General features: G+C 39.9%; 1 protein-coding gene across 3 annotated transcripts; it reads left to right on the forward strand.

The window, feature by feature from the left end:
* SPANXN4 (SPANX family member N4) lies at nucleotides 5,365-18,074 on the forward strand. 3 transcript variants are annotated; one of them, XM_017029543.1, is made up of 4 exons: nucleotides 5,365-5,529; nucleotides 13,462-13,669; nucleotides 13,946-14,171; nucleotides 18,017-18,074. In XM_017029543.1, the coding sequence occupies exons 1-3, from the start codon at nucleotides 5,452-5,454 to the stop codon at nucleotides 14,131-14,133; spliced, it is 474 nt and encodes a 157-aa protein (XP_016885032.1). In that variant the 5' UTR covers nucleotides 5,365-5,451; the 3' UTR covers nucleotides 14,134-14,171; nucleotides 18,017-18,074. The 3 variants fall into 3 exon arrangements, with proteins under 3 accessions (XP_016885032.1, XP_016885033.1, NP_001009613.1); XM_017029544.1 differs by having other exon boundaries at nucleotides 13,465-13,669; NM_001009613.4 differs by lacking the exons at nucleotides 13,946-14,171; nucleotides 18,017-18,074 and having other exon boundaries at nucleotides 13,462-13,748.
* The last annotated feature ends 9,170 nt before the right edge of the window (nucleotides 18,075-27,244 follow it).

Below are 27,244 nucleotides of genomic sequence, written 5' to 3' on the forward strand. Positions count from 1 at the left end.
AATGTATAGAATATATAAGTAGCTGAAACTCTATAGGAAAAAAATCTAATAATCTTATGCAAAAATAGCCAATAGATTTGAATAAACATTTTTCAAAAGAAGACACACTAATGGCAAACAGGAATATGAAAAGGTGCTCGTCACTGATCATCAGAGAAATGCAAGTAAAAACTACAGTGAAATCTTGTTTCACTCCAGTTAAATTGGCTTATATAAAGACAGGCAATAGCAAATGCTGGCAAGGATGTGGAGATGTACACTGTTGGAAATATAAATTAATACAACCACAGCTTGAAGGTTGCTCAACAGTTTGAAGGTTCCTCAAAAACCTAAATAGAGCCACCATGTGATCCAAGACACCTACTATTGGGTATATACCCATAAGAAAAGAATGCATTATATTGAAAAGACAGCTGAACTCTCATGTTTGTTGTAGCACTGTTTATAATAGCTAAGAGCTGGAAGCAACCTAAATGTCCACCAATAGATAAGTGAAGAAAAAAATGGGGTACATATACACAATGATGTACTATTAAGCCATAAAAAAGATATAATATCATTTGAAACCACATGGATGGAACTGGAGATTATTATACTTAGTGAAACAAGCCAGGCACAGTAAGACAAGCATCCCATGTTCTCACTTATTTGGGGGATCTAAATATCAAAACAATTGAACTAATGGACACAGAGAGTAGTAGGATGCTAACCAGAGGATGGGATGTGTATTTAAGGGTTGGAAGGATGGTGGGGAAAGTTATGGGTATATAAAACAGAATGAATGAGTAAGACCTACTATTTGATAGTAAAACAGAGTGACTGCAGCCAATAATAACATAATTGTACATTTCAAAGTAACGAAAGGAATATTATTGGGTTGTTTGTAACATGAAGGATAAATGCTTGAAGGGATGAATACCCCACTCTTCATGATGTGATTATTCTATATGGCATGCCTTTATCAAAACATCTCATGTACCTCATAAATATATGCACCTACTATGTACTCATAAAAAGTAATTAAAAAATAATTTAGAAGAAAAAATTAAAATGTTGAGCAGTGTAGAAAACTTCTGACTCCTTAGAATGTTTGCTTTTAAGGTGTCAATTTTATTTTGTCAGGCTGGACATTACCTCAGGATATGTTTTCAATATGCCAGATATAGAATATACTTTTGGAATGGAATGAAGAACAATTTTCTTCAAAAGGTGCAGAACAAGGACAATGGTCTTTATATCCCTATGACTAGCCCAGTGCTTGAGACAGAATATGTGCCCACTTAAGAGTTGTTGAGAGATCTGATGGTCTTTGGTAGCTTACTTCTGTTTAAAGCATCCTATTTCTGGGCTAATCCTCCATATTAAACCAAGACCTTTGTTCTTAAGGGCTAGTATCCTCCCAGTGGTAATAGAATCAGAAAGAAAAACCAGGGTAGTTCAAGGCAGAATAGCCCCACCACACATAGTTTTACACTGTGGAGTTGTAAGTCTGGTTGGCTGGAATCATAATATTACCTAAAGTTTAAAAAAATTATAGCATCTTTAAAGGTGAGGATTACAGAATCATAGCATATTTTTTTAAATGACATTCATTGTTCCAATTTACTCATTCTACAGCTGGGGGATCTGAAGCCTACAGAAGGTATGCAGTTTACCCAGAGTACCAGAAAGAACATGAGATTTAGGGCAGGATGAACCTAGGTTTGAACACTTTTTTCACAATTATTGAGTTATTGAGCTTCTCTGGGCCTCAATTTCCTTTTCAGTAAATCAATCCCCTGTGATGATATCTACCTCCCGGGACTGCTGTGAGCATTGCATCTCTGCTGAACATCTTCCCTCTGCCTTTCCAGGTCCACTCACCACCCTACTTCACCTGTTCTGTCCGGGGAGGCTATTTAGGAAGGATTCTATTAATGGGTTCCTAGGGTCCCTGGTGTCCACTGGGTTTGGCTAATGGGGAGCCACAAGGAGAGTTGGAGGTGGAAGGGAGAAAGGAAGGAGAGTGAGGGCTGTAGACCTATTCTCCTGGCTCCCTCCCTGTGAATCACCCCGGGCTGGATGAGTCTCTTGGTAGAGGTCACTGTTCTTCTCAAAATAGTCATTTCCTCATGATTATTGATCTTTCCAGGTTCTAGTAACCACTTCCTTCCTGCTCTAATTCCTTTGGGTCTGGAGTGATGGCAGTTACTACTAGCACTATCTCTGATGGTCTCCCTGCATCTGTCTGTTTGTAAGTGATCACTTTGCAGACAAATGCTTGTCAAATTATTCCATTTTGCATGTACCATCTGTTTCCTGTTTGACCTAGATACTATACGCTTAGACCAGAGCCTAGCATATAGTAGGTTCTTGGTGTATGGAATCTATTGCTAGTAGTATTAATAGTAGCGTAGAGGTAGTAGTGGTTGCAGTAGAGGTAATAGTGCCGGTATTTTTCAAAGCCACTCATCCAGTCACATGCAAAGCCAGTAGTAGGATGTATTCCTCTCCCATCTTTTTCATTGATTGCTCTTCAACTGTCTGTGCTCCAGAGGGAAATACATGGTTGGCCTCTAACACCTTGCTGTTTGTAGCCACAGAAAGGGGCAAATCCCAAGCAGATCATATCCTATACCACATTACACTATTAAAACCTGCCTTAGACAGCTTAAAATGTGTAACAAAAATCATTAAAATGTAGTTTATGGTTATTATTAACTAACTAGTGTCAGTTTATAATATCATTTGTACAAAGGCCCCAAAACAAGAGCTGAAAAGGTTTCAAGGAATCCCTGGTTCTCATCCTGGTCCATTTTTGACTTACAGCATGACATGGGAGAGTCACTTTGAGTAGTTCCTAAACCTGATATGATAAAGAAGAATATTCTTGAAAACAAAAAACATCAGAAATAAAAAAGTTCAATGCAATGAACTCATTGTACACTGATGGCCTTTAATTTTTTATTATGCATTTTGGTGGAAAATATAACATAATTACTAAAGATTTCAATAGGAGTTATTTTATAAAGTCAGTTGTAATCTTTCAATAGAAATATGCACTGAATGTGTTCCTAACATTTTGATAAATTTTCATTGGATAGTGATATACCCATCAAAACATTTTTAGTAAACAAATTAAGAAAACAATTATAAAAAGTAATAAGGTAATTGAAAGCTGTTATTTTCAGCAATTTTAATCACTTTTTGACCTACCCTATTTTATGTGGTATGCCTTTTGGTTTTTGTTTATTTGTTTTTTTTTTATATAACATGACAAGTCAGGGTGATGTTCTCACTGTTAATTGCAGGCAAGAGTCCAAAAAAAAATTAAATCCTTAGAAGTTAGCTTGTGAGTATTTAATAAATAAAATTGTTCATCTCTAGACAACATCTGGGATTCACTAAGAAAAATGTGTACCTTAATAACAATGTTCTTCTGGTTTCTTAGATTTTAGATGGAACTCATGGGAATGCTATAAATTGGTTGTGTTTGGAGGTCAGCAGGGTACTTTGCTAGGATTTCTTGATTTTATGGGGTATGAAATAAAGATATGTGAGCTCGATGAGCACTGGAACAAAAATCTAGGGTCTACTGCTCTTTCATTTTATTTTATTTTTTCCATTATTGATTTTTGTGACTTCCTATAGAGAATTGGACAGGTGTCAACCTGGGAGAGAAATCTAGGGCCATGCCTCCTCTATCTTTGGCACTCTCTCTTCCTCTCTTTTAAAATATTTTTATTTTTCTATTTTGAAACAATTATAAGTTCACAAGAAGTTTCAAAGATATGTACATAGAGGCCTTATGTATCCTTCAACCAGCCTCTCCCAATGGTAAAATCTTCAGTACGCTACCACATTACACTATCAAAACTAGAACACTGACATTAATACAATCCAGAGCTTTTTAAGATTCAACACTTTTCTTTTGGCTGTTCTAGGCCCATTACATTTCCATATGAATATTATAATTATCCTGTCAATTTCTATTAAGAAACCTTTTTAGAATTTGTATTAGGTTTGAGTTGAATCTACAGATGAATTTGGAAATAACTGACATCTTCAATATTGAATCTTCTAACCGAAAATCAAAGTATACATCTCGATTTTTCCTTATGTTATTATCTTTGCAATTTTTTGTAGTTTTAACTGTGCAAGTCATTTACATTTTTGTTCAGATTTATCCCTAAGCCTTAATATTTTTTGAGATATTTTAAATTGCACTGTGCTTAATTTCAAATTCCGGTTGTTGAAATTAACTACCAGTCGACCCTAGGACTACCATTGGCTGAAACACTGACTGTTCTAATATATAAACTTCTAATATATAACTTCTAACATATAAACATACAATTGATTTGTGTGTTGATCTTCTATCCTGCAATCTTGCTAATCTCAATTATTGTCAAAGCCTTTTTTTTTTTTTTTTTTTAGATCGACTTTTCTACACAGGCTCTCATGTGGTCTTTGACAAAGGATACTTTTACTTCTCCCCTTCCACACTAAATGCCTTTTGTTTTTCTTTTGCACTGGACACAATCTCCATTACAAAATGTAACAATGCCCACACTGGTGTACATGTTGGTGTTAGATAGTATTCTGCATGTAAACACTCAGAACAACTTCCAGCACATGTGTACCCACTCCTCCCCCAACCCTACACACTGGTAAAAACCATGTTGTGGGAGACTACATTTGCTATGAACATACACCCCTGATTTGAAACAAGACTAGGATACCCAGTAAGGATGTTTATTCACTGAAGTTCTGGCAGACTGAAGGCCATGATTTCAGACTAGAAATAGGAAACTTAAGAGGACTACATGGACATTGGAAAAAAGAACATGGATTGAAATTTGCCTGGCAGAAACCTGAAAGTTAATGGTCTTCAAGGTGCATATGAAGGAACTGCAGGAGGGAAGCGGGATAATTCACATCTCCACCAATAATTAAATGTAGCCACACTAGCTTGGAGGGATTTGAGGTGAGACATCTAAAATACTAGGTCATGGTGAGGGTTGGAAGACAAAAGAATGAATCACTTAATAGGAATGGCTGTGGGGAAGGGCTTGAAGGAATCATCCTCTCACTTCCATGTGAACCATGAACATTAAACATGGAGAAATGAGGAGCGGAGGCAGATCAGTTTGGGATGCATCTTCAGGGGATGCTGAAACAACAACAGCATTTGGTTTCCTCTACACCCCTTTCACCCCTCCCCCACAAACCCAGGGAGTTGTCAGAGGTGGTTCTTTGTGATGCCAAAGCCACCCTAGGACTACCATTGGCTGGGACACTGCCTGTATGATCAAACAAAGCTCAAGGGTGTGGCTTCGTCTTGCTCCCAGGAGGGTATATATACAGGGTGGGCAAAAGCTCTGGGACAGCCCACTGGAAAGCTTCAATACAGCTGTGGAAATCTGCACCCTAGAAGATCCTAGTACAGAAATTCTACAACCAACCATAATCATGGAAGAGCCAACTTCCAGCACCAACGAGAATAAAATGAAGAGCCCCTGTGAATCTAACAAAAGAAAAGTTGACAAGGTCAGATTGTTAGGTTTTGAAGGGAAGGTGAGGGTGAAAGAAAGACACACAGATAGGGCGCGGGTCAAACAGCAACACGGGTATACTGCAGACACCTGCAGAAATGTGGGGCCAGCTTCATGCCAGAGCCCACCGCTACATACAGGCCAGCGTACTTATAGGTATGGGTGGGAGAGGTTTGGGCAGTATGGCTGGCTGCTCGGCGGAATATTGATAAGATGTTGTTATGATCAGGCAGTTTGGCCCTTTTTCTGGTGGGATGTCATCATGGTGTTGCTTGGACCTTTTTCCCCAACAAGATATGATAGGGATGTTTTTTTAGATGGGCCTTTATCCACCTCATGGTCAGGCAGTTAGGCGGGATTTTTCTCACGGCCAGAACTCCCGTGGAATGTTTCACTTTGACCAAGGTCTACAAAATAGAAGGGAGCTTACAAGAGAGTGCAGTTTAGACTGATATTCTTGCCTTCTACTTTATCATAAAAGGAAGAGGGACGTGGTTGATTATCTGGCTGCTTGCTGCTGAATAGGGGAGCTGTATTCAGGGTTTGGGTTTTGAAGCAGTGGGTGTTGGACTTCAGAGTTGTTTTCCTGGAGGCACTGGTACCGGACTTGGCAGCGGAGAAGGATGGTATCAATGTGTTGCTGGGTGGCTGCCTGGACAGGGGAGTTTAGCTTTAGGGAGATAAAGAGGGATATGAAGGTGAGTATACATGGGCCAATTGTAGTATTTGGAGGAGAAAGATTAGGGGACCTAAGAAAGCGGCCCCCTGCTATCCCAGTGCTGAGTGCAGCAGAGATGTTTAGTTCTGCTAACACTAGAATGAAATGTAGAGCCTGCTTAGTGTGTGTGGAGGAAGATGAGACAGAAGCTACTAAAGGAAACCGGATGGTCTGCTTGTGAGGCAAAATGTTAACGTTTAGACTGAAACACAAGGGTGCATGTTCCTGACCAATTGGCCAGTAGGCAGAGATAAGAGTTTGTGCCACAAAGGAAGAAGACACTGGGGGTGGACAGACAAAAGTTGTAGCTTATGGTGGCAAGTCATGAGAAGATGGGGGTTGAATTCTGCACAAACCCTTTGTTTTAACTTTTATGCTTTTCCAAGTTGAATAGCTGCCAGCAAGGGTAGGCCCTGTGAGGGCATGACAGAAAATGCTGGTGGGGGAGGAGTTGAAGGCTGTTTGGTTTTGGAGAGAGAGAGATAAATGGGTTTTTGTAACTAATAGTCATTGCGGTCCTGATATGGCAGAAGGATATAGGTTGCAGTTGAGGGAATTGTTTGTGCATTTTTTCCAGGGAGCGCTGTTGAGTTGGATACATGAAGAGCGGCTCTGGCAGAGAGGGGAGGGGTTGGTAAGAGGTGTTTTATGGGATCCAGCTTGTATCGTGTTCAGTTAAGAGGCTGGCTATGAGGCGAAGGAGGGTGACAGCCCTGTGTGTGACAGTGTGGGTGGATCTGATAGACTGGGGAGAAAGGTGTTTAGCTGAGCAAGATTATAAACAGGTTTTGAGAATGAATTGGCCAAGTAGGTGAGATGCAGGTTTATTTTGGACTGGGTTTACGTGGCCAGTTTGAAAGGAAGGGCTGTGAACTGCTGGATTTGTGTGGACAAACAAATTTAACAGTTGGAAGAAAGACGGGAGGGAGTGTGACTGATTTAAGAGGCAATGTGTTAGGCTGATGAAGGGGGCTCAACTGTTAGAGGTTGGGGGTGGGGACTTAGAATATTCCACAGACAAAAAGGGCAAAAGGAGAAAAAGGAGATTTGAGTAGGAGTGAAATTTTGGAAGGCGCCCTGCAGTCATACCTCCTGCATTACTGTGGGAAATTGGCATGGGCTATCCAGGGACATGGGGAAGGGACACCAGGAAAGATCTGAAATAAAGTAGGAGATAAAAGATTGGAAATTGGAGATGGAGACTGTTATGCACTAGGGCATTCTGGATTGGCAACTTCTGGAATTCTTGTTAAGTGCAGTGAGGTTGGTCCTGTGAGGGAGAGAGAGTAATTTGGGGGTGAGGAAATTTCTAGATGTGGATCTGGTGCTCTTTTTAGTTTGGAATGGTGTATTCAGTGTGGGAAGGATGTTAGCTTTGCCACTGTGTGAGTAGTTAGGATAACCTGCTGAGGACCCGTCCACTTAGGTTGGAGAGGGGAGGAGGAGGAGTCTGCGATTCAGACCCAGTCCCCTGGTTGTAGGGACAGGGAGGAGTGTTTTGAGGATGGACTTTTGGGCTGGGGATAATAGGGCTTAGGCTGAGGGGATTTGAGGAAATGGCTCATAAATGCATGAGGACCAGTAAGAGAAGTGAAGCCTGGGCCGTTTTAACCTCTAGGGAGTTTTTGTTTGTTTGTTTGTTTTTTAATTACATGAAGATTAGGGGAGGTAAGGAATATGGAAGGCCCACTTAATGTTTAGAGCCTTTGCCAGCTGTTGGTTAGCCTGTGAAACAAATGTTGGCCCATTGTCTGACTGAATCCAAGAGGGGAGTTTAAACCTGTGGATAATATGAGTGAAGAGAATAGAAGTGATGGGGTGTGCCTTTTCGGTGGTGGTAGGAAAAGCTTTTATCCATCCAGAGAATGTATCTACTATTAGCAGAAGGTATAGGAATCATTTGTTGGGAGGCATGTGGGTGAAGCTGATTTGTTAGTCCTGCCCTGGTGTGTGTCCTCAGGCCTGGTGTGTGGGAAAGGAGATGGTTTGATAGCTTCCTGAGGGGAAGTTTAAGTGCAAAGGGAACATGTCTTAGTAATATCTTTCAGATTGGCAGCCATGGTCGAAGAATGTATTTAAGCTTTTAAAAGCTGGAGTAGGGGCAGTAACTGGCATGGAAATGGTTGCGCACGTATAAAAGTACAGAAGGTTTTTAATACTTGGACAAGACACTTTCATCATTGAGGTAGAACTATTTTTTCCTGAATGGTGCCAGCCCGGGCAAGTGGGGTTTGTTCCGCGTGGGTATATACAGGTTGTATGCTGGGAAAAATGGGTAATAATGATGAAATTTTAAGGGCTGCCTGCCAGGCTGCTGAACGTGTTTAGAAGTTTCCCTTTGTTATGGCATCTGTAGCCTTTTGGTGTCCCTTTCAATGGATAATGGTGGCCTGCGGTGGTAGGTTAGCCACCTCCAGCAGCTTGTGTGCAAGTTTCCTATTTCTTATGAGGGTTCCTTTTGTAGTTAGAAAACCCCTTTCCTGCCAGATTAAGGTGTGAGAGTGTAGGATGTACCACGCATATTTGGAATTGGTGTGAATGTTAACTCTCTTTCCGTTTGCTAGGGTGAGATCCTGGGTTAGGGCTACTAGCTTTGCCTGTTGAAAGGTAGTATGGAGTGGGAGAGCATTGGATTCTAGGAGCTCAGTTTTGGTAATGGTGACGTGGACAGCTGCTGGACATGGCTCCCTTAAAGAGCTTCCATTAATGAACCATGTAGGCGTTCCCCGCAAAGGAGCTTTTGAAATATGTTGGAAGCGGGAGGAGAGGAAGTTTAAGAGGTCCAGGCAGGAGTGAGAGAGCTTAGAGTTAGAGATATTAACAGGGAGGAGGGTGTTCAGGTTGAGAGTTTTATATCTCTGGAAGGTGATTAGAGGGTTACCTATGAGTAAGGCATGTACCTGCTATAAGTGGGATGATGGGAGGGATGGAAGGGATTCACAGTTTATGAGGTCCTGTAGGTAATGGGAAGATGCACTAGTAATGTGTTGGTAAAGAGGGAGTTTCTGTACCTCTAAGGCCAGCAATGTGGACACACCCAAGATTTTTAGTCAGAGTGACCAGCCTTGGATGACAGAGTCCAGTTGTTTTGAGAGGTATGCAACGGCTTCTGGGGCGTCGCCGTATATTTGGCAGAGTAGTCCAAGAGCAAGGCCTTGGTCAGAATGTACATACAAAGTAAAGGGCTTAGTGGGGTTAGGCAGTCCCACTGACAGGGCCCTTAAAAGGGCATTTTTTAGTTTGTTTTTTTTTTAAGTGGGAGTTGATGGGGCAAGCTGGGTTCAGGTGTTTTAAGATGGGCCCATGTGAGGCCGTGTAAAGCAGCTTGGCCAGCAAGTCAAAGGTGGGAATGCACAGCTGGAAGTATCCCACAAGGCTCAAGAAGGAGAAGAGGTCCTTTTTGGTGTAGGGAAGGGGCATGTCCTGAATTAGCTCATTTTGTTGGGTTGGGATGGCCCAAGAATTAGGGGGTAGGAGAAACGCAAGGTAAGTAACCTGGGTTTGGGCTATCTGAGCTTTTGTGGGTGACACCCGACATCCTCAATTATGGAGGAAGTTTAAAACCTTAGTGATGTGTTGGACTGACAGGTTATGGGAGGGACTACAGAGAAGGAGGTCATTGACATATTGGAGGAGGGTGCTAAAATGAAGGGGAAGTTCAGCTAGGTCCTCGATGAGGGCCTGTCTGAATAGGTGGGGGCTATCCTGGAACCCCTGTGGGAGTATGGTCCATGTCAGTTGGGTGAAAGTGTGAGTATTAGGATTTGACTACATGAAAGCAAAAAAAAAAAAACTTTGGGAAGCCAGATTTAAGGGAATAGTGAAAAAGGCATCTTTTAGATCCAATTCAGAGAAGTGTATGGTAGATGGGGCAATATGGGAGAGTAAAGTATATGGGTTGGGGACCACCTAATGAATTGGTACCATCACCTGGTTAACAACTCCAAGATCTTGGACCAACAGGCAAGATCCATCTGTCTTTTGGACAGCCAGGATAGGCATGTTGTAGCGAAAGTTGACAGACTTGAGAATCTGAGCTTGTTAAACTTTACAGATAATAGGCTTGAGGGCCCTGAGGCCAGCTGGGTTAAGGGGATATTGAGACTGATGAAGGAAAGTGGAGGAGATTGAAGGGTTATTTTAACTGGGATGTTGTGTGTGGCTATTGTGGGTTTAGAAACGTTCCAAACTTTAGAATTAACAGAAGGTAACGGTGGATAATGAAGATGAGGGGGAGGAGAGGGAAGCATTTTGGTGGCAGAGTAAAATAAAAGTAGAATTGTAGGAGCCGCATTGCATGGAGTTCTGGAATTTACTTAACTTTCCCACCCCAAGATAGGGGTAGGGCACTGAGGGATAACCAGGAAGGAGTGGTGAAGGAGGGTGTTGAATAGATTGTATAATAAAGGACCAGTCTGATTGTGCCTAGAGGGGATTTCATTGACTTTCACGATAGAGACAGAGGAACTGAGGAGAGGTCCAGAATATTCTGGTAAAACTGAATAACTATCCCCTGTATCCAATAGGAAAGACACGGGCTTACTAGAGACTGACAGTGTTATCCTGGGTTCTGAGGTGGTGATGGTGGTAGGGGGGTGGGGGCAGACTCCAGGCCCTGTCAGTCTTCAGTTAGAGGTTATGAAGCAAGCGGGATGAAAAGTTTTCCTGAGCACAGTCTGACTTTCAGTGTTCCTTGATAACACAGATGGGGCGAGGTTTCCTGGGTGTCCTGGGATTAGGGCAGGCTTTTGCCCAATGTCCCTGTTGGTTGCACTTATAACAGGCTCCTGGCAGTGACTGTTGTAACACTGAGGACTTCTGTATGAATTGGGAACCCTGTTGAATGGCAGCTGCCAGCATTTGGTATTTAGCCTGGTCCTTTTTTGTGTTTTTAGTTCTTCTTCTCTATTATTAAAGACCTCAAATGCCACTTCAATTAAGTGTCTTTGGGAGGTTTGAGGGCCATCCTCCAGTTTTTTTAAGTTTCTTTTGGATGTCGGGGGCTGACTGGGAGATAAAGTGTAAATGAAGGTGGATTTTGCCCTTATTGGTATCAGGGCTTTTGAAAGGCAGTAGAGGAAAAGAGCATGGGCAGCTTTATTTATGCCAGCTAGAAGGCATGATATCGTATGGCCTTGTTTTTGTCTGTCTGCAGAAGTTGCCTGATAATTCCAATTGGTGTAAGTCCTGGGGACAGCTAGGGTCCCTATTGGGTTATGGGCAGCATGTTGTTGGTGGAGGGTGTTTGCATTGGCATAGACAGCCATCCAGATGCATTCCCTGTCTTCTGGGGAGAGGGTGGAGGAGAGCATGACATACGTGTCTTGCCAGGTAAGGTCGTAAGATTGAGTGGCATACAAAAATTCCTTGTGGAAAGAGATGGGATCCTTGGATAAAGGAGCCAAGTCTCTTTTAAAATGGGAGAGGCTGGCTAGAGAGATGGGAACATGATCTCAGATTATGCTTTTGTCCCTCATGATCTCCTGCAAGGGAAGGGCTTTGGAAGGCCTTTGGGTGTGTGCCTGGTTTTCAGCACTAGGGGGGTGGGTGTGAGACCTGGTTTGTGGTGGAGAACGAAGAGGGGATGGAGGGCGACAGTAAAGGGGTGGAGGAGCCAGAGCCAAAGGAGAAGAAGGAGGAAATGATGTTGGGAGGGGGACTGAGATAGGGGTTTTTTTAACCAGGCTGAAATTAGAGGAGAAAGGCTTGTCCTGAGGAGGAGGCATTTTTGCGGGTTTTTCATTGAGGAGGAGGATTTGAAAAGGGGAAAAAGATTGGCAGAGAGAGAGAGCAATCCATGAACGGAGATAAGCAAAGCACTTTTGATCCTTTACCATTGCATTAGAGAAAGTTTTTAGATTATGTTCAATTTGGAAGTTGAAAGTTTTGTTGTTTGGAGGAGGGGAGTGCATACCCCTGAAGGGAATGAGTATCTCCAGAGGGTAGTGAATACCCCAGAGGGAAGCAAGTACCTCAGAAGGGAGTTAATATCCCAGAAAAGAGTGAGTGCCCAGAAGGGGAGTGAATACCCCGGAGAAAAGTGACTACCCAATTCCTCCCAGGAGAATGGACGTAGGAGAGCTGGGATGTACCAAAGAGCTGTGGCAGCTCTTCACAGTCCCCTAGAGGCCAGAGTGGCTGGAGTGGTGAGCGTTCTGAAGGTGTCCCCTGAGAAGGCAGGCTGCGGTCACCTGGTGACCAGGGAGACCTCCAACTCAGTGCTAGGATTTTCTGGAGAACCAGCAGAAATAGAGAAAAATCTGGAAAGGAGGAAAAGGGAGATTCACCCACTAACTGGAGACTGGTGTTGGATGTAAGATCCAGCAATGGGGGTGATCCTTACTGGAGCCACCCAGAAAGGGTAAGGAAGCAGAGGATGGAGAGTTTGATCAGGACCTAGAGGTCAGCCCAGGACTGGAGAAAATGAGAGAATAAGGAGAACGGGGCTGGGAACAGGTAGTCCACTCAGGATATGGAAGCAGGCTCAGGTCTAGTTTTTGCTGCTTGCTGCCTTCCAGGATGCAAAGAAGACTTACCTGGTAGAACTCAATCCCCATCCTGGGTTTTGGCACCAAAATGTTAGGTTTTGAAGGGAAGGCAAGGGTTAAAGACACACAAAGAGGGGACCACTCAAACAGCAACACAGGTATATTGCCGACAGCTGCAGAAGTGGGGGACCAGCTTAATGCCAGAGCCCACTACCACTTACAGGCTGGGGTACTTACAGGTATTGGTGGGAGGCAGCTGGGCAGTATGGGATGCTGCCTGGCAGGATATTGATAAGATATTCTTATGATCAGGTGGTTTGACCCTTTTTCCTGTGGGATGTCATTGTGGTGTTTCTTGGACCTTTGCCCAGAAAGATATGATAGCAATGTTTCTTAGTTGGGCCTTTGTCCACCTTGTAGTCAAGTGGTTAGACAGGATGTTTCTCATGGCCTGAACCCCCATGGAATGTTTCACTTTGACCGAGGTCTGCATAATAGCAGGGAGCTTACAAAGTCATGCAGTTTGGAGTAACACAGATGACCCTACCCATGCTCCTCTTCTTCCCCATAGATCCCTACCCTATGATTCCACCTTGCTCTTCTCTGGCACAAGCCCCTTCCTCAACCTGCATTCCTTCTTATAAAGCCCCCCTTGCTATCTATTCTCTACCCTCTTCATCCAAAATAACACCATTCTGGCCTCTCCCTGTTTTTTTACCAGAAGAAGAAGAATCTGCACAGAGCCTCAGCCCCTGAACAGAGTTTGAAAGAGACAGAAAAAGCAAAATATCCAACATTAGTGTTTTACTGCAGGAAGAATAAGAAAAGAAATTCAAATCAACTGGAGAATAACCAGCCTACAGAGAGCTCCACTGATCCAATCAAAGAGAAAGGAGACCTAGACATATCTGCAGGATCTCCACAGGATGGTGGGCAGAATTAGTCCAAATTGGACAAATCATCACCACTGATGGCGATGATTACAATAAAATCAGTTTGAGGAGCTGATGACTGTGTATACCTCTGCCTTTTTTTCTGATGGTGGGGAGGAAGGGAAGGGAAAAGATAGGCATTTGAGAACGGAGGGATATGAGATCCTGTAGCATTGGCGGACAGATCCACAGGTTAGCCAGACATTGTAAATAAAGACTGGGGGAGGACTGATTCCTGGAGACAAATTTTCTTCTTAAAATTTTATCTCACAGGAGAGGAAGAAAAGGATTTGGTGTTCCTTGGAGCACGTGCATGTTTAGAAGAGCACATAAGAAGATCTGTATTGTATGTAGGTGACAGTGACACTCTTTCCAAAATGAAGACATCAGAATCACCACCTTCAGGCCACATACCTCAGAGTGGTGTGTTTTGTAACTCACCCAATGCTGTGAGCAACTGAAGGTCCTCAAAAGGAACAAGAACCTCACCCTACAGAAAGTAAGACAGCATGCCACACACAATAAAATAATGGTGTTTGGAGGACATGCTTCCAATACTAGGGCGCTTGTTAAGAAACTCTAGGTGGAGCAGTCACCTACCAAGTGTGGGGCACTGGGAGTGGCCTGTGTCTACTGCAGGCAACAAACAGAAGCATTGTCTACAGGGAATTTTAACACAAGAATACAAGTAAAATCTGGTATTTTTATCACCACTTCCATACACCAGCATTTCTGTAGAATGTCAATGATTAAGAATTCTTCCCCTAGAGACAGAGCTTGCAGTGAACCGAGATGGCACCACTGCACTCCAGCATGGACGACAGAGTGAGACTCTGTCTCAAAAAAAAAAAAAAAAAAAAAACTTCCCCTAAAAGAAAATATCGTTTTTATTGGAGGAAATACAATAGAATGGTTTTGGCATCAATGTAGAGGGCTGAGTTATATTCCTTGAGTTAATTGCTCAAGACCCTCTCCTGTTTATTTACTCATTCACTCTCCTTTATTTCCATGGCCCAGTTTTATTCCCCTTGTCTTCATTGGCAATCATTGTAATGCATTTGATGTGTATCCTTTTCTTTGTATGAGTGTCAATACATGTTTTTTTTATTGTTTGTGGACATTTGTTTTCAATGTATATATCCATTGTCAATACTTAATGTTCCACTCAGGCCTGTTTTTAAGATGCATCTATGTATGTCTAATCTGTTCCTCCCTTGTCAGATATATTTTTATATTATATAAATTTAAGAAAGATATTTGGATTTTTAATTTTTGTACCCACCTTCTGGTCCATGTTTTGTTTAATTTATACCTTAGGATTACATTTTCTTTCAAGTGACTGTAAATAGTATCATGTGTTTAATTTTTATTTCCACATGTTCAATGTTAGTATACAGAAGTGTGATGGATTTTTAATGTTTATTTTAAAGAAATTTTATTTTGTATATTTGAGGTTTACAACATGTCATTATGGGATATATATATAAAGTAAAATGGTTACAATGGTAAAAATGATTAGCATACCTCTCTTCTCACTTTTTTAAGTGTGTGACAATAGCAGCTAAAATCTACTTATTTAAAAAAATTCATGATATAATTTCATTAGCTTTAGTCCCCCTGTACATTAGATCACTAGACTTGTTCATCCTACATATCTGGTATTTTGTATCCTTTGACTTACATCTCCCCATTTCTTCTCCCACCCCCAATGTTTCATTCTCCACCTCTGTCTATTGGACCCCTTATTTATATAGTCCACATACGAGATCAGGTAATCTTTTTCTTTCTGTCTGGATTATTTAACTTAGTGTGATGTCCTCCTGGTCCATCCATGTTCTGGAAAATGCCAAGATCTTTTTTTTTCAAGTGGAGGAAGGATATTAAAGAGCAGATGGATGGTAACCAAAAGAAGGGAGAATGAAAATCTTTCTTCTGGCTCTTTTCTAACATTGTCTTCAGGACCTAGGCATACTCTGATATCCACAATTTCTCTGCCAAAATCTGTTGTCACTACAGGTGTCCATCTTGGAAAAAGCCTAACATGATATAGACATGGCCCTTGATGTCTACAGAAAAATCTCACAGATCCTCACACCGAATCTCACAGATCCTCACACAGAATTGGGGAGTATGAGAAGCCCTATTAAATCTCTTTTCCTTTAGTTCACCAATCATTGGTGAATATTTTTCTGTTCTAGATAGAACTTCCATAATTCCCAAGTATACTCTGGCATTTATATTCATTTATTTGCATGTGGATGTCCAGTTGTCCAAGCACCATTTGTTGAAAATACGATTCATTGAATTATCGCGACATCCTTTTCTATGATCAATTGACCATAGCTTTATCAGTTTATTCCTGTTCTCTAAATTTTATTCTATCAATTAGTACATGTAAAAGTATCTAAGCAGTATGCTTTCTTGAATGCTATGGCTTTGTGGTAAGTTTTGAAATACAAAAGGGAGAATCATTCAAGTTTGCTTTTCTTTTACAATATTGGTTTGGCTGTTCTAGGCCCTTTAAATTTACGTGAGTTTTAAGATAAGCTTGTCAATATCTGCAAAAAATGCAGGTGGGATCTTGATTGGGAGTACATTGAATCTGTACCTCGATTTGGGGAATATTGAACACAGACTTTATCTCTAAGATCTTTCAATGCTAGGGTGCTCCAGAGTTCAGTCCTTAGACATACCCTTTTATCCTTCTGCACTCTTTTAGCTTTAAATGACATCTATACGCATATGACAACCAAAATTATATCTTCCCCCTAAATCTCTCCCTGAAGCCCAAACTGACTAGTTTATGCATTCATTTGAGTACCGAATAAACATTCCAAAATTAATATAGTCAATGATAATTTTACAAGAAACAATAACATTGTGCTTATCACATTCAAGGTACTCTTTTTAAGACCATAAGTAACCTGATGAGGCGATTATCATTTTTCCCTTCAAAAAAACCGAGGTAAACACTAGATACATAAATGACTAAGTTCATATAGAAAGTGTCAGAATCCAAGATTTGAACCCAGTCATGCTGATCCCAGAACCTACACACTTCACAATACCTCATATCATTTCTTCTAATTAGAGCATATGCTTTCTCTATCTGCATACTTATCTTCTCCCTTTTCTTGGAAGATAAATTTCTTGGGGCGAATTCTTCCGTGAGCCATTTCTATAATAACATAAATTATATGAATAAAAGACCATAATAACGAATGCCTGCAGTTTCTCACTCCCCCAGCTTGACTATGTACTCAGACTATACTGTTGAGTTGCCTTAATGGAGTCAGTACAAGGAAGTTAGGGTTTATAGTCTATCAGTAGAAACTGCTGTTTATCAATTCCTAACCATTTCCTGGATATTTTCTCTATTGCTATGGTTAGGCTTTGTGTCCCCATTCAAATCTCGTCTTGAATTATAATTCCTATAATCCCCATAATTTCCATGTGTCAAGAAAGAGACCACGTGGTGGTAATTGGATCATGGGGGCAGTTTCCTCCATGTTGCTCTCATGATAGTGAGTGAGTTCTCAGGAGATCTGATGATTTTATAAGTACTTGGTAGTTCCTCCTGCATTCGTTCTCCTTTCTGCCACCTTGTGAAGAAGGTGCCTTGCTTCCCCTTCTCCTTCCATCATAATTCTAAGTTTCCTTGAGGCCTGCAAAGCCATGCTGAATGTAAGTCAATTAAACCTCTTATTTTTTTAATAAATTACCCAGTCTCAAGCAGTTCTTTATAGCAGTGTGTAAATGGACTGATACATCTATAGAATCTATAACAATCTTAAAGTAAACAGAAGAAAATAATAGACTTTCGATAGCAGTTCAACACATAATGAATCCCAGTTGATTCTGATGTGAAGTGCTATAACTCAGGTCTTTACGTGATATCTGTAACTACTTACACTCTGATCTCTTTTTTCTTTCTTTGAAAGCACTTGCACTAGTGACATTTGAATCACTTCATCATTCTTTTTTAAAGAATTGTAGAATCATATAACTGTTGGCTTTCTGTCTTTCAGTTTCCTATATATGCCAAGGTCTTTTCTACATGAAAACTGTTTCTCATTTTCTTCTCTTTGCCTAGAATTATTTTCTCCTTTCTACACACAGTGCCAAATCTCACTGAAATTATCATTGGTTACATTAATTAATAACTTTAGGTCTTTAGCTGATGGCTACCTCCACACTTGAGTTCCTCTCTGGCCACTTTATGTAAAGTTTTAATCCAACACCTCCTATCCCCATAGCTAACATTTTATATGCCTTCCTGGCATTATTGTTTTCTTGTTAATAATTATCATTCTCAAACATATTTTGCTTTCTTCTTGTTTTCAGTTTGCTTTCTCCAGTATATTGTAAACTCCATGACAACAATTATCTCAGCCTGTTTTGTTCGCTACTGTATTCTTATGACTTCAAAAAGTGTCTAGCATGTAATAAGTACTTAATAAATATTTGTTGCATTGAATCTTCAATATACATCATTTATTCAACAAACACTTTTTAAGCACTTGTTATGTCCCAGGCACTATGCTGTGTACTGAGGATATGATGCAGAACAAGACTGACATTACCACTGAACTTAAACCTGTGAAAAGCAGGTAAGTAAATGAGTATTTACAATATAAAGTGTTAAGGAAGTAAGATAGGAGTCAGCAAACTGTGGAGGCATATTAGAGGAGCATCTTGCCTAGTCTGTGGCATCAGAGGATACTTCCAAAACCTGAGGAATTGAGACCTGAAGTTATTGGGGGAGCTCATGTAGATTTCTGTAGTATATTGTCTGAACCAGGGGTCAGCAAATTTTTATCTGTCAGCTTTTCTCTATCAAGAGCCAGTTAACAAATATTATAGGTTTGTGGGTCACATATGGTCCCCATTACAATTAACCAATTTTACCCTTGTCACAAAAGCAGTCATAGATGATGCATAAACTAATGGCATGGCTCTTTGCCAATACAACTTTAATTGCAAAGACAGGTGGCAGCACAAACTGTCTTTTCATAACTCCTAATATAGCCCCATGGAATTCAAATTTTTTTTTTTAAGTAACAGAACCCTTTATTCAAAGAAACTTTATGTGGAATACCAGTATCTAATGAGACAAAAGTCCTTGGTTAAAACTGTGGTGGAAGTCTGGAGACCCTTACCTCTCTTTCCCAGTGATTAGAGGAATAAGTAGGTAAGCTTCCTTCTTCCAGCATAAGACTTACCCACTTTTCCTTTCTCTTTCTTCTTATATGGCTTCCCCCTCATCCCTTATAATAAGAGCTGAGGCCAATAAGGTTGTTCTAACTAAGAAAATCAAACTAGAAAAGTTGATATTCAAAAACAGAATCAGCCAAATTTTTTTGGGAAATTCTCAAAGATACTCCATTTATTGAATTGTGCATTACTGTCCCCACCCCACCCACCAAATTCATATGTTGAAGCAATAATTTTCATTGTGATTGTATTGGTCCAGTCTCATACTGCTATAAAGAAATACCTGAAACTAGGTAATTTATAAAGAAAAGAGGTTTAATTGACTCACAGTTCCACAGGCTGTACATGAAGCATGGCTGGGAAGGCCTCAGGAAACTTACAATCATGGAAGAAGGCAAAGGGGAAGCAGGCACATCTTCACATGGTGGCAGGAGAGAGATAGTGAAGGGGGAGATGCTACACATTTTTAAACAACCAAATCTCATGAGAAGTCACTTGCTATCATGAGAACAGCAAGAGGGATGTCTCCCCCGTGATCCAAACACCTCCCACCAGACCTGTCCTCTAATATTGAGGACTACAATTGGATATGAATGAGATTTAGGTGGGGACACAGATACAAAGCATATCAGTGACTGTATTTGGAGACAGGGCTTGTAAGGAGGTAATTAAGGTTAAATTAGATCATAAGAGTATGGCCCTAATCTAATAAGATTATTATCCTTGCAAGAAGAAACAGAACATCCCCCTCTCCTTATTCCCTTCTCCCTCATCACATGGACTACAGGAAGGCTACATGAGGAAACAAAGAGAAGGCAGCCATCCACAACCCAGAAGCCAGGAAGAGAAGTCTCACCAGATACCAACTCTGAGGGCACCCTGATCTTACACCTCCAGCCTCCAGAACTGTGAGAAAATGAATTTCTATTGTTTTACACCATCCAGTTTATAGTATTTTGTTATGATTATGACAGCTGGAGCAGACTAAGGCAGACACTCTTCAAAAAAAGCCGAGCTATAGTTTTATGTCCTAATTTAATATCACAGTTGATCTTTGACCTTTTATAAATCTTTTACCAAGCTGCTTCCTGGAGCCCACGAATTATCTTTGAGGTGGCATTTACTGTTTTAAATTTCTTGCTGAGTCACTCAATTACTTCTTATGGTTTCTGACTACTTAAAGATGCCCTAGCTTTTGAGGGGAACTTGTTACCAACTGTGTATAAAGCAGGAGATGCTACCTAAGAAGTCAGGATTAGTTGTTCTGACATAGTTGGACATATTTTTCATCAAGGAAGTAACACTTAAACTGCTGCTTGTCCAACGTATCTTTATTTTCTAGGCCTGTGCTATTCGTTAGGAAAGATGACATAATGAATAGACCAGGCACATGTGTGACTACTGACTCTCAAAAACTAGCCAAGCTGAATGCTAAGTAAATGAATGTAGCAAAAGAGCTTATTAATAGCCCAGAAGTCACACAGAGAATGCTGTCAAATCTTTCAGAGACAGATCGGTAAGTATACATAGCATCTTGCTTATCTTCACATTAGAGCTGCTGTGAATGAGCCACTTAATAATAATCTTGGAGAGTCTTGAATAAACAGCCTGGGCACTTTAAGGGTTGCCTACATTACAACTATAGAAACATTCTGCTAGAACGCAGAAAGCAGAAGTTGTGTTTTCTCCGTGGTCTGAAAAGTACTTAGTAGAAAGTCATTGCACGCTAAGTCTCTCATTGCACACTGTTTCCTCACTTGAAGGATGGGATATTGGCACTTGTTTTGATTATAACATAGAAATCCAGATTTTTTTGTCTATACTTTATACTTCTCAGGGTTGGACTTGGAGATCAATTGCCCTAGCTAATGCTAAGCATTGACTATAGGATGATATTTGGAAAAAATAACTGTGACCTCAACTGAATGGTTTTGTCCTAGAACTCCTGAGGGACTCAATGTGGAAAGTGATATGGAAGGCCTGACAATAAAGTAATAATGTAGAGTGCTTTTCAGAAAGATGAGAAATTACTTGAGCCAGTGAGGTGTTTTCTCTTGAAAAGCAGTCCTCTCAAAAGTTCAGAATTCTTTTACCAATGTTAGCATTGCATAAACCATTTCTGAAACCCATTTTGAAAATTAAATTTCTACCTAATATTCTTCAGGTCAGCCATATGTCATTCCTTACTGGTAATTAGATTATTTGCAGCATCCAAAATATACTCAGAGCCTGTTTTTAACTAATTAAATTTTCAGTTAAGCTAGTTAATAATAATTTAGGACTCAAAATTATGTGAGATTATATAGTAATGAAACTTACTTTTTAAATGGCTAAAGAAGTAGCTCTGGTAAGACTTTTAAAGGGGATGCTCCAAAAAGGTTTTGGGAAAATGGAGTATGAATTTAATAGGTGTGAGGCTTTCCGGCGGAGGGGGGGCGGGGAGCGGGGGTGGCACTCACAAAGAGAGGACACGCACTTTGAGAGATATGTTCAGAGAGCCTTGCTAAGAATTTGATCATATTTTTTCATAGTCAAAATATATTTGATCTTGGTGGTTTTGTTCACATAGTAGGTGATGTTAGGGAGATCAGAAGGAGCAAGAAACAGAGCTTTTGGGGTCATGGGAGGAAATTTAGATACTTCTAAATATAAGAGTACATTATTGGTGATTTTTAAGAAGAGAAGTGACATACTTAGAATTACATTTATTCTGCGGTCAGAATGGACTAGAGGGTGGGAAGCTAAGTGAATCTGAGTCATGCAGCTGTTGCTGTCACCCAGATCAAAGATTATGGTAGCTGGGGCAGTGGCTCTAGACATTTAGGAAAGTGACCAGAACTAAAAGATATTTAAAAAGTAAAACATAATAGTTACCATAGCTTAACATTTATAGGGCTGTCTCTTATATGTCCTTTCATATATGCTGATAGTATCACACTAAAATGAACATACTATTTGCTGATAACATTTGTTCCTGGTTTAAGAGAAGGGCAAACCCGAGAGAACAATTGAGCTGAATAAACTGTAGGTTTATATAATAAATATACTCATTTATACATAGCAGTGAGCAACTCGTGATTTTAAAACAGTGATTCATAAAACAAAATAATATGATTGGGGATAGTCTTTTTGAACATTGAAGTTATATTTGAATACATTTGGCCTGTCATTCCCTATAATTTATATATATGCAATCAAATTCAAAGTGAGCTTCAGCTTTCATTTGAGCGGAGTGTTTTTTACAGTAATTGCGAATTTGGCAGGATTCGCTTTTGGTGGGAGTTCTTGATAATTGTTTCTTTGAATGGAAATGGTCCCAATTATTTTTTTATGTGTGAATTATTCTTCCCTAGTATCAGCTGTTGATGTAGCATGAAACAAGTGAAACAGCACGGTGGCACTGATTCCTTCTCGTTTTGACAAACTGACCTGTCATTAATGATTTCTACTGGGAAATGCTGACAATAACTTTTGGAACTTCGTCCCGGAGGTGGGATCCTTATTTGAAATAGAAAGAAGCCCAGATGAAACTACCATCTGCACAGGAGCCAGCTTCGGAGTCCTAGCAGCACGGGCCTGACTGTCTAGTGGGCAAACACCTGTGGTCTGTCTATACCAAGCAATTGCAGCACCAAACTGAATACTTTACACCTGTAAAGCCTCATTTATCCAGGTCGAGCTGCTGATTGGAATGGCATACTTAGAGATTTCAGTTCAACAGATAGGATATTCAAAAGGGAAAAACAATTGTAAAACTTCAGCTGAGGCTGGGCGCGGTGGCTGACGCCTGTAATCCCAGCACTTTGGGAGGCCGAGGTGGGCGGATCACGAGGTCTGGAGATCGAGACCAGCCTGGCTAACATGGTGAAACCCCGTCTCTCCTAAAAATACAAAACAATTAGCCAGGCATGGTGGTGGCTGCCTGTAGTCCCAGCTACTGGGGAGGCTGAGGCAGGAGAATGGCATGAACTCGGAAGGCGGAGCTTGCAGTGAGCTGAGATCGCCCACTGCACTTCAGCCTGGGCGACAGAGTGAGACTCTGCCCCCCACCCACCCCCAAAAAAAAAACTTTAGCTAAGTGCCATCTTTAAAATGACAAAACAATCACTAGATCCAACGGAGAAGGGAAATCAGATAAGATAGATACTTGGAATCACAAAACAAAGTAATTGGCTGTTGTTGCTCTGGTAAAGATATTTATTTGTTATCAATATAGGAAAAATATATGTGGCAGATAAAATTATTTTGAGCCCACTATTGCCTCTCCCTGGGCATGCAGTGAGAGCACATTTCTCAGTATCTAGTGTAGTTGGGTGGGGGTAATGTGACTGAGTTCCAGTTAGTGGAAATGTGAGCAAAAGTGATGTGATATTTCTACTGTCATGCAAATAAGAGTAAATGACTCTTTTGTCAGCTGACTTTCTCAGAACTCTGGGTACAGATAGAAACAAAGCACTCTGTTATGGTAATAGTGCAAAATAGTAATAACCTAGATTTCTGAGTCTCTTACTGAAGTTGACCATTGGACTACAGAGTGAGAAATGCATCTGATCTGTCTTCAGTCCCTGAAATTTAGGGGGCTACTTTTTTGTCTCTCCATAGCCTGGATAACCTTTAAATACTAATCCTAATCCTAATCCTAATCCTAATCCTAATACTAATACTAATACATAAGGATAGCAGCAACAGCTACTGTATGTGGGTCACATAATATGAGCTAGGTGTTGTGCTAAGCCTTTCACAAAAGATATTTCATGCTATCCTCACAAACAAAATCTGCCAGGTAAATACTACAATTCTTATTTCACGAAATTAAGAAACAAACTCAGAGTAGGAAAGTGATTGACCTAAGGTCTCACAGTTAGTAATCACGTCACAATCCAACTGCCTGGTTTTAAATGTGTTTTTTTCTCTATATACGGCAGCCACTGAGTGCTCATACGTCAAACAGTTGTTTCCATATTTCACATGCAAGTTTTCACTATTCAAATTTCTTTTTTTTCTTTACCTATATGACATGGTTTGACTGTGTCCCCACCAAATCTCAACTTGAATTGTATCTCCCAGAATTCCCACGTGTTGTGGGAGGGACCCAGGCGGAGGCAATTGAATCATGGGGGCTGGTCTTTCCCATGCTATTCTCGTGATAGTAAATAAGTCTCATGAGATCTGATGGGTTTATCAGGGGTTTCTGCTTTTGCTTCCTCTTCATTTTCTCTTGCCGCCACCATGTAAGAAGTGCCTTTCACCCTCTGCCATGATTATGAGACCTCCCCAGCCATGTGGAACTGGAAGTCAAATTAAACCTCCTTTTCTTCCCAGTCTCAGGTATGTCTTTATCAGCAACATAAAAACGAACTAATACACTATAACACTGACAAAAAGTAACACATTTTATTGGCCACAGTATGAGAAAACAAGCACACCCACACATTGAGTGGTAGAAGTATAAATGTTCTTTGTATGAAGTTTCACATGCCTTTTCACTGAACAGATCTAGTTTTAGAAATTTATTATACAAATATACTTGTATGTGTGTGATTTACACACTAAGTTGGTCCTTACATTACTTGTTATAACAGTAAAATATTAGAAGAAAACTAAATATAAATCAGTAAGTGGCTGTTTAAATAAATGATGCTAAGTATACACCATACTATGTTGCATGGACACAGGAAGGGGAACATCACACACCGGGGCCTGTTGTGGGGTGGGGGGAGGGGGGAGGGATAGCATTAGGAGATATACCTAATGTTAAACGATGATTTAATGGATGCAGCACACCAACATGGCACATGTATACATATGTAACAAACCTGCACGTTGTGCACATGTACCCTAAAACTTAAAGCACAATAAAAAAAAATGAGCAAATACTTTACATACTAGGGACAGGGAAAATGGCAGATTTTTTTTTTTTACATTTTGTACGTTATTGTTACACTTTGAAATTTTACAATATGATGCATTACCCTTACAAAAATAATTTAAAATTTTTAAATGTGTGCTTATATCTTGTTTCTTAAGGATGGCTACTTCAGAGTTCTATTGTCATTCTTTATACCTATTCTATACCTTTCTTTGTATATACTTGGTAGTCAATAAAATCTATTTTAAAAAGCCTATTTTGAAGGTAAGAGGTTTTTTTTCATTTTTGGTTTTTTAAAATTTTTATATTTTTAATTTTTATGGCTGCATAGTAGGTATACATATTGATGTGTTACATGAAATGTTTTGAAATGGGAATCCAATGTGAAATGATCCCATTGTGGAGAATGGGGTATCCATCTCCTTGTGTTACAGACAATTCAATTACATTCCTTTAGTTATTTTGAAATGTATAATTAAGTCATTATTGACTACAGACACCCCATTATGGTATCAAATAGTAGGTCTTACTCATTCCTTCCGACTAGTTTTTTGTACCCATTTACCATTCCCACATACCCCCACCCCATCCTCACTATCCTTCCGAGCCTCTAGTAACCATCCTTCTACTCTATATGTGCATGAGTTCAATTCTTCTAATTTTTAGATCCCACAGATAAGTGAGAACATGTGATGTTTGTCTTTCCATGCCTGGTTCATTTCACTTAATGTAATGATCTCCAGTTCCATTCATGTTGCTACCAACAACTGGATCTCATTTTTTTATGGCTGAATAGTACATCATTGTGTATATGTACCACATTTTCTTTATCCATTCATCTGTTGATGGACATATAGGTTGCTTCTACATCCTGGTTATTGTGAACAGTGCTGCAACAAACAGGGGAGTGCAGATGACTCTTTGATATACTGATTTCCTTTCTTTTGGGTACATGCACATCAGTGGAATTGCTGGATCACACGGTAGCTCAACTTATAGTGTTTTGAGGAACCTCTAAACTGTCCTTCATAGGGGTTGTACTAATTTACATTCCTACCAACAGTGTACAAGGGTTTCCTTTTCTCTACATCTTCGCCATCATTTGTTATTGCCTGTCTTTGGGATAAAAGCCATCTTAATGGGGTGAGAGAATATTTCATTGTAGTTTTGATTTGCATTTCTCTGATGATTGATGATGTTGAGAAACTTTTCATATATCTGTTTGTCATTTGAACGTCTTCTTTTGAGAAATGTCTATTCAAATCAATTACCCATTTCTTAGTTGGATTATTAGTTTTTTCTCCCTATAGAGTTGCTTGAGTTATTTTCTGATTATTAATCCTCTATCAGGTAGGTAGTTTGCAAATAATTTCTCCTTATTTTGAAGGTCGTCTATTCACTTTCTTGACTGTTTCCCTTGTGCAGAAGTTTTTTAACTGGACCCCATTTGTCCATTTTTGCTTTAATTGCCTGTGCTAATGAGGTATTGCTCAATAAATTTTTGCCCACACAAATGTCCTGGAGATTTTCCCCAATGTTTTGTTGTAGTAGTTTCATAGTTTCATGTATTAGGTCTAAGTCTTTAATCCACTTTGATTTGATTTTTGTATAAGGCAAGATATAGGTGTCTAGTTTCATTCTTCTGCATATGGAAATCTAGTTTTCATAGCAGCATTTACTGGAGACTGTCTTTTCTCCAGTGTATGTTTTTGGCACCTTTGTCAAAAATGAGTTCACTGAAGATGTATGGATATTTTTCTGGATTCTTTATTCTGTTCTATTGGTCTATGCATCTGTTTTTGTGACATTATCATGCTGTTTTGGTTACTATAGCTCTGTAGTATAATTTGAAGTAAGGTACCATGATTATTCCTGTTATCTTATTTTTGCTTAGGATAGCTTTCGCTATTCTGTGTCTTTTGCAGTTCCATATAAATTTTAGGATTATGTTTTCTATTTCTATGAAGACTGTCCTTGGTATTTTTATAGATATTTCATTGAATGTGCAGATTGCTTTGGGTAGTATGGACATTGTAACAATACAGATTCTTCCAGTCTGTGAACATGGAATATTTTCCTACTTTTTGGTGTCCCCTTCTATTTATTTCATCAGTGTTTTATCGTTTTTATTACATAGATCTTTCACTTTCTTGGTTAATTCCTGGGTAATTAATTTTATTTGTGGCTATTATGAATGAGATTATTTTTTGATTAGTGTTTCAGATTGTTCATTGTTGGGATATAGAAACGCTACTGATGTGTTTGTTGATTTTGTTTCATGATACTTTATTGAATTTGTTTATCAGCTCTAAAAGCTTTTTGATGGAATCTTTATGTTTTCCCAAATGTAAGACTATATGATCTGCAAATAAAGATAATTTGACTTCTTCATTCCAAATTGGATGCCTTTTATTTCTTTCTCTTTTCTGCATGCTCCAGCTAGGCATTCCAGTACTATGTTGAATAACAGCGGAAACAGTGGGCATCTT

Source organism: Homo sapiens, chromosome X (assembly GCF_000001405.40).
Source record: "Homo sapiens chromosome X, GRCh38.p14 Primary Assembly".
Lineage (NCBI taxonomy): Eukaryota > Metazoa > Chordata > Mammalia > Primates > Hominidae > Homo > Homo sapiens.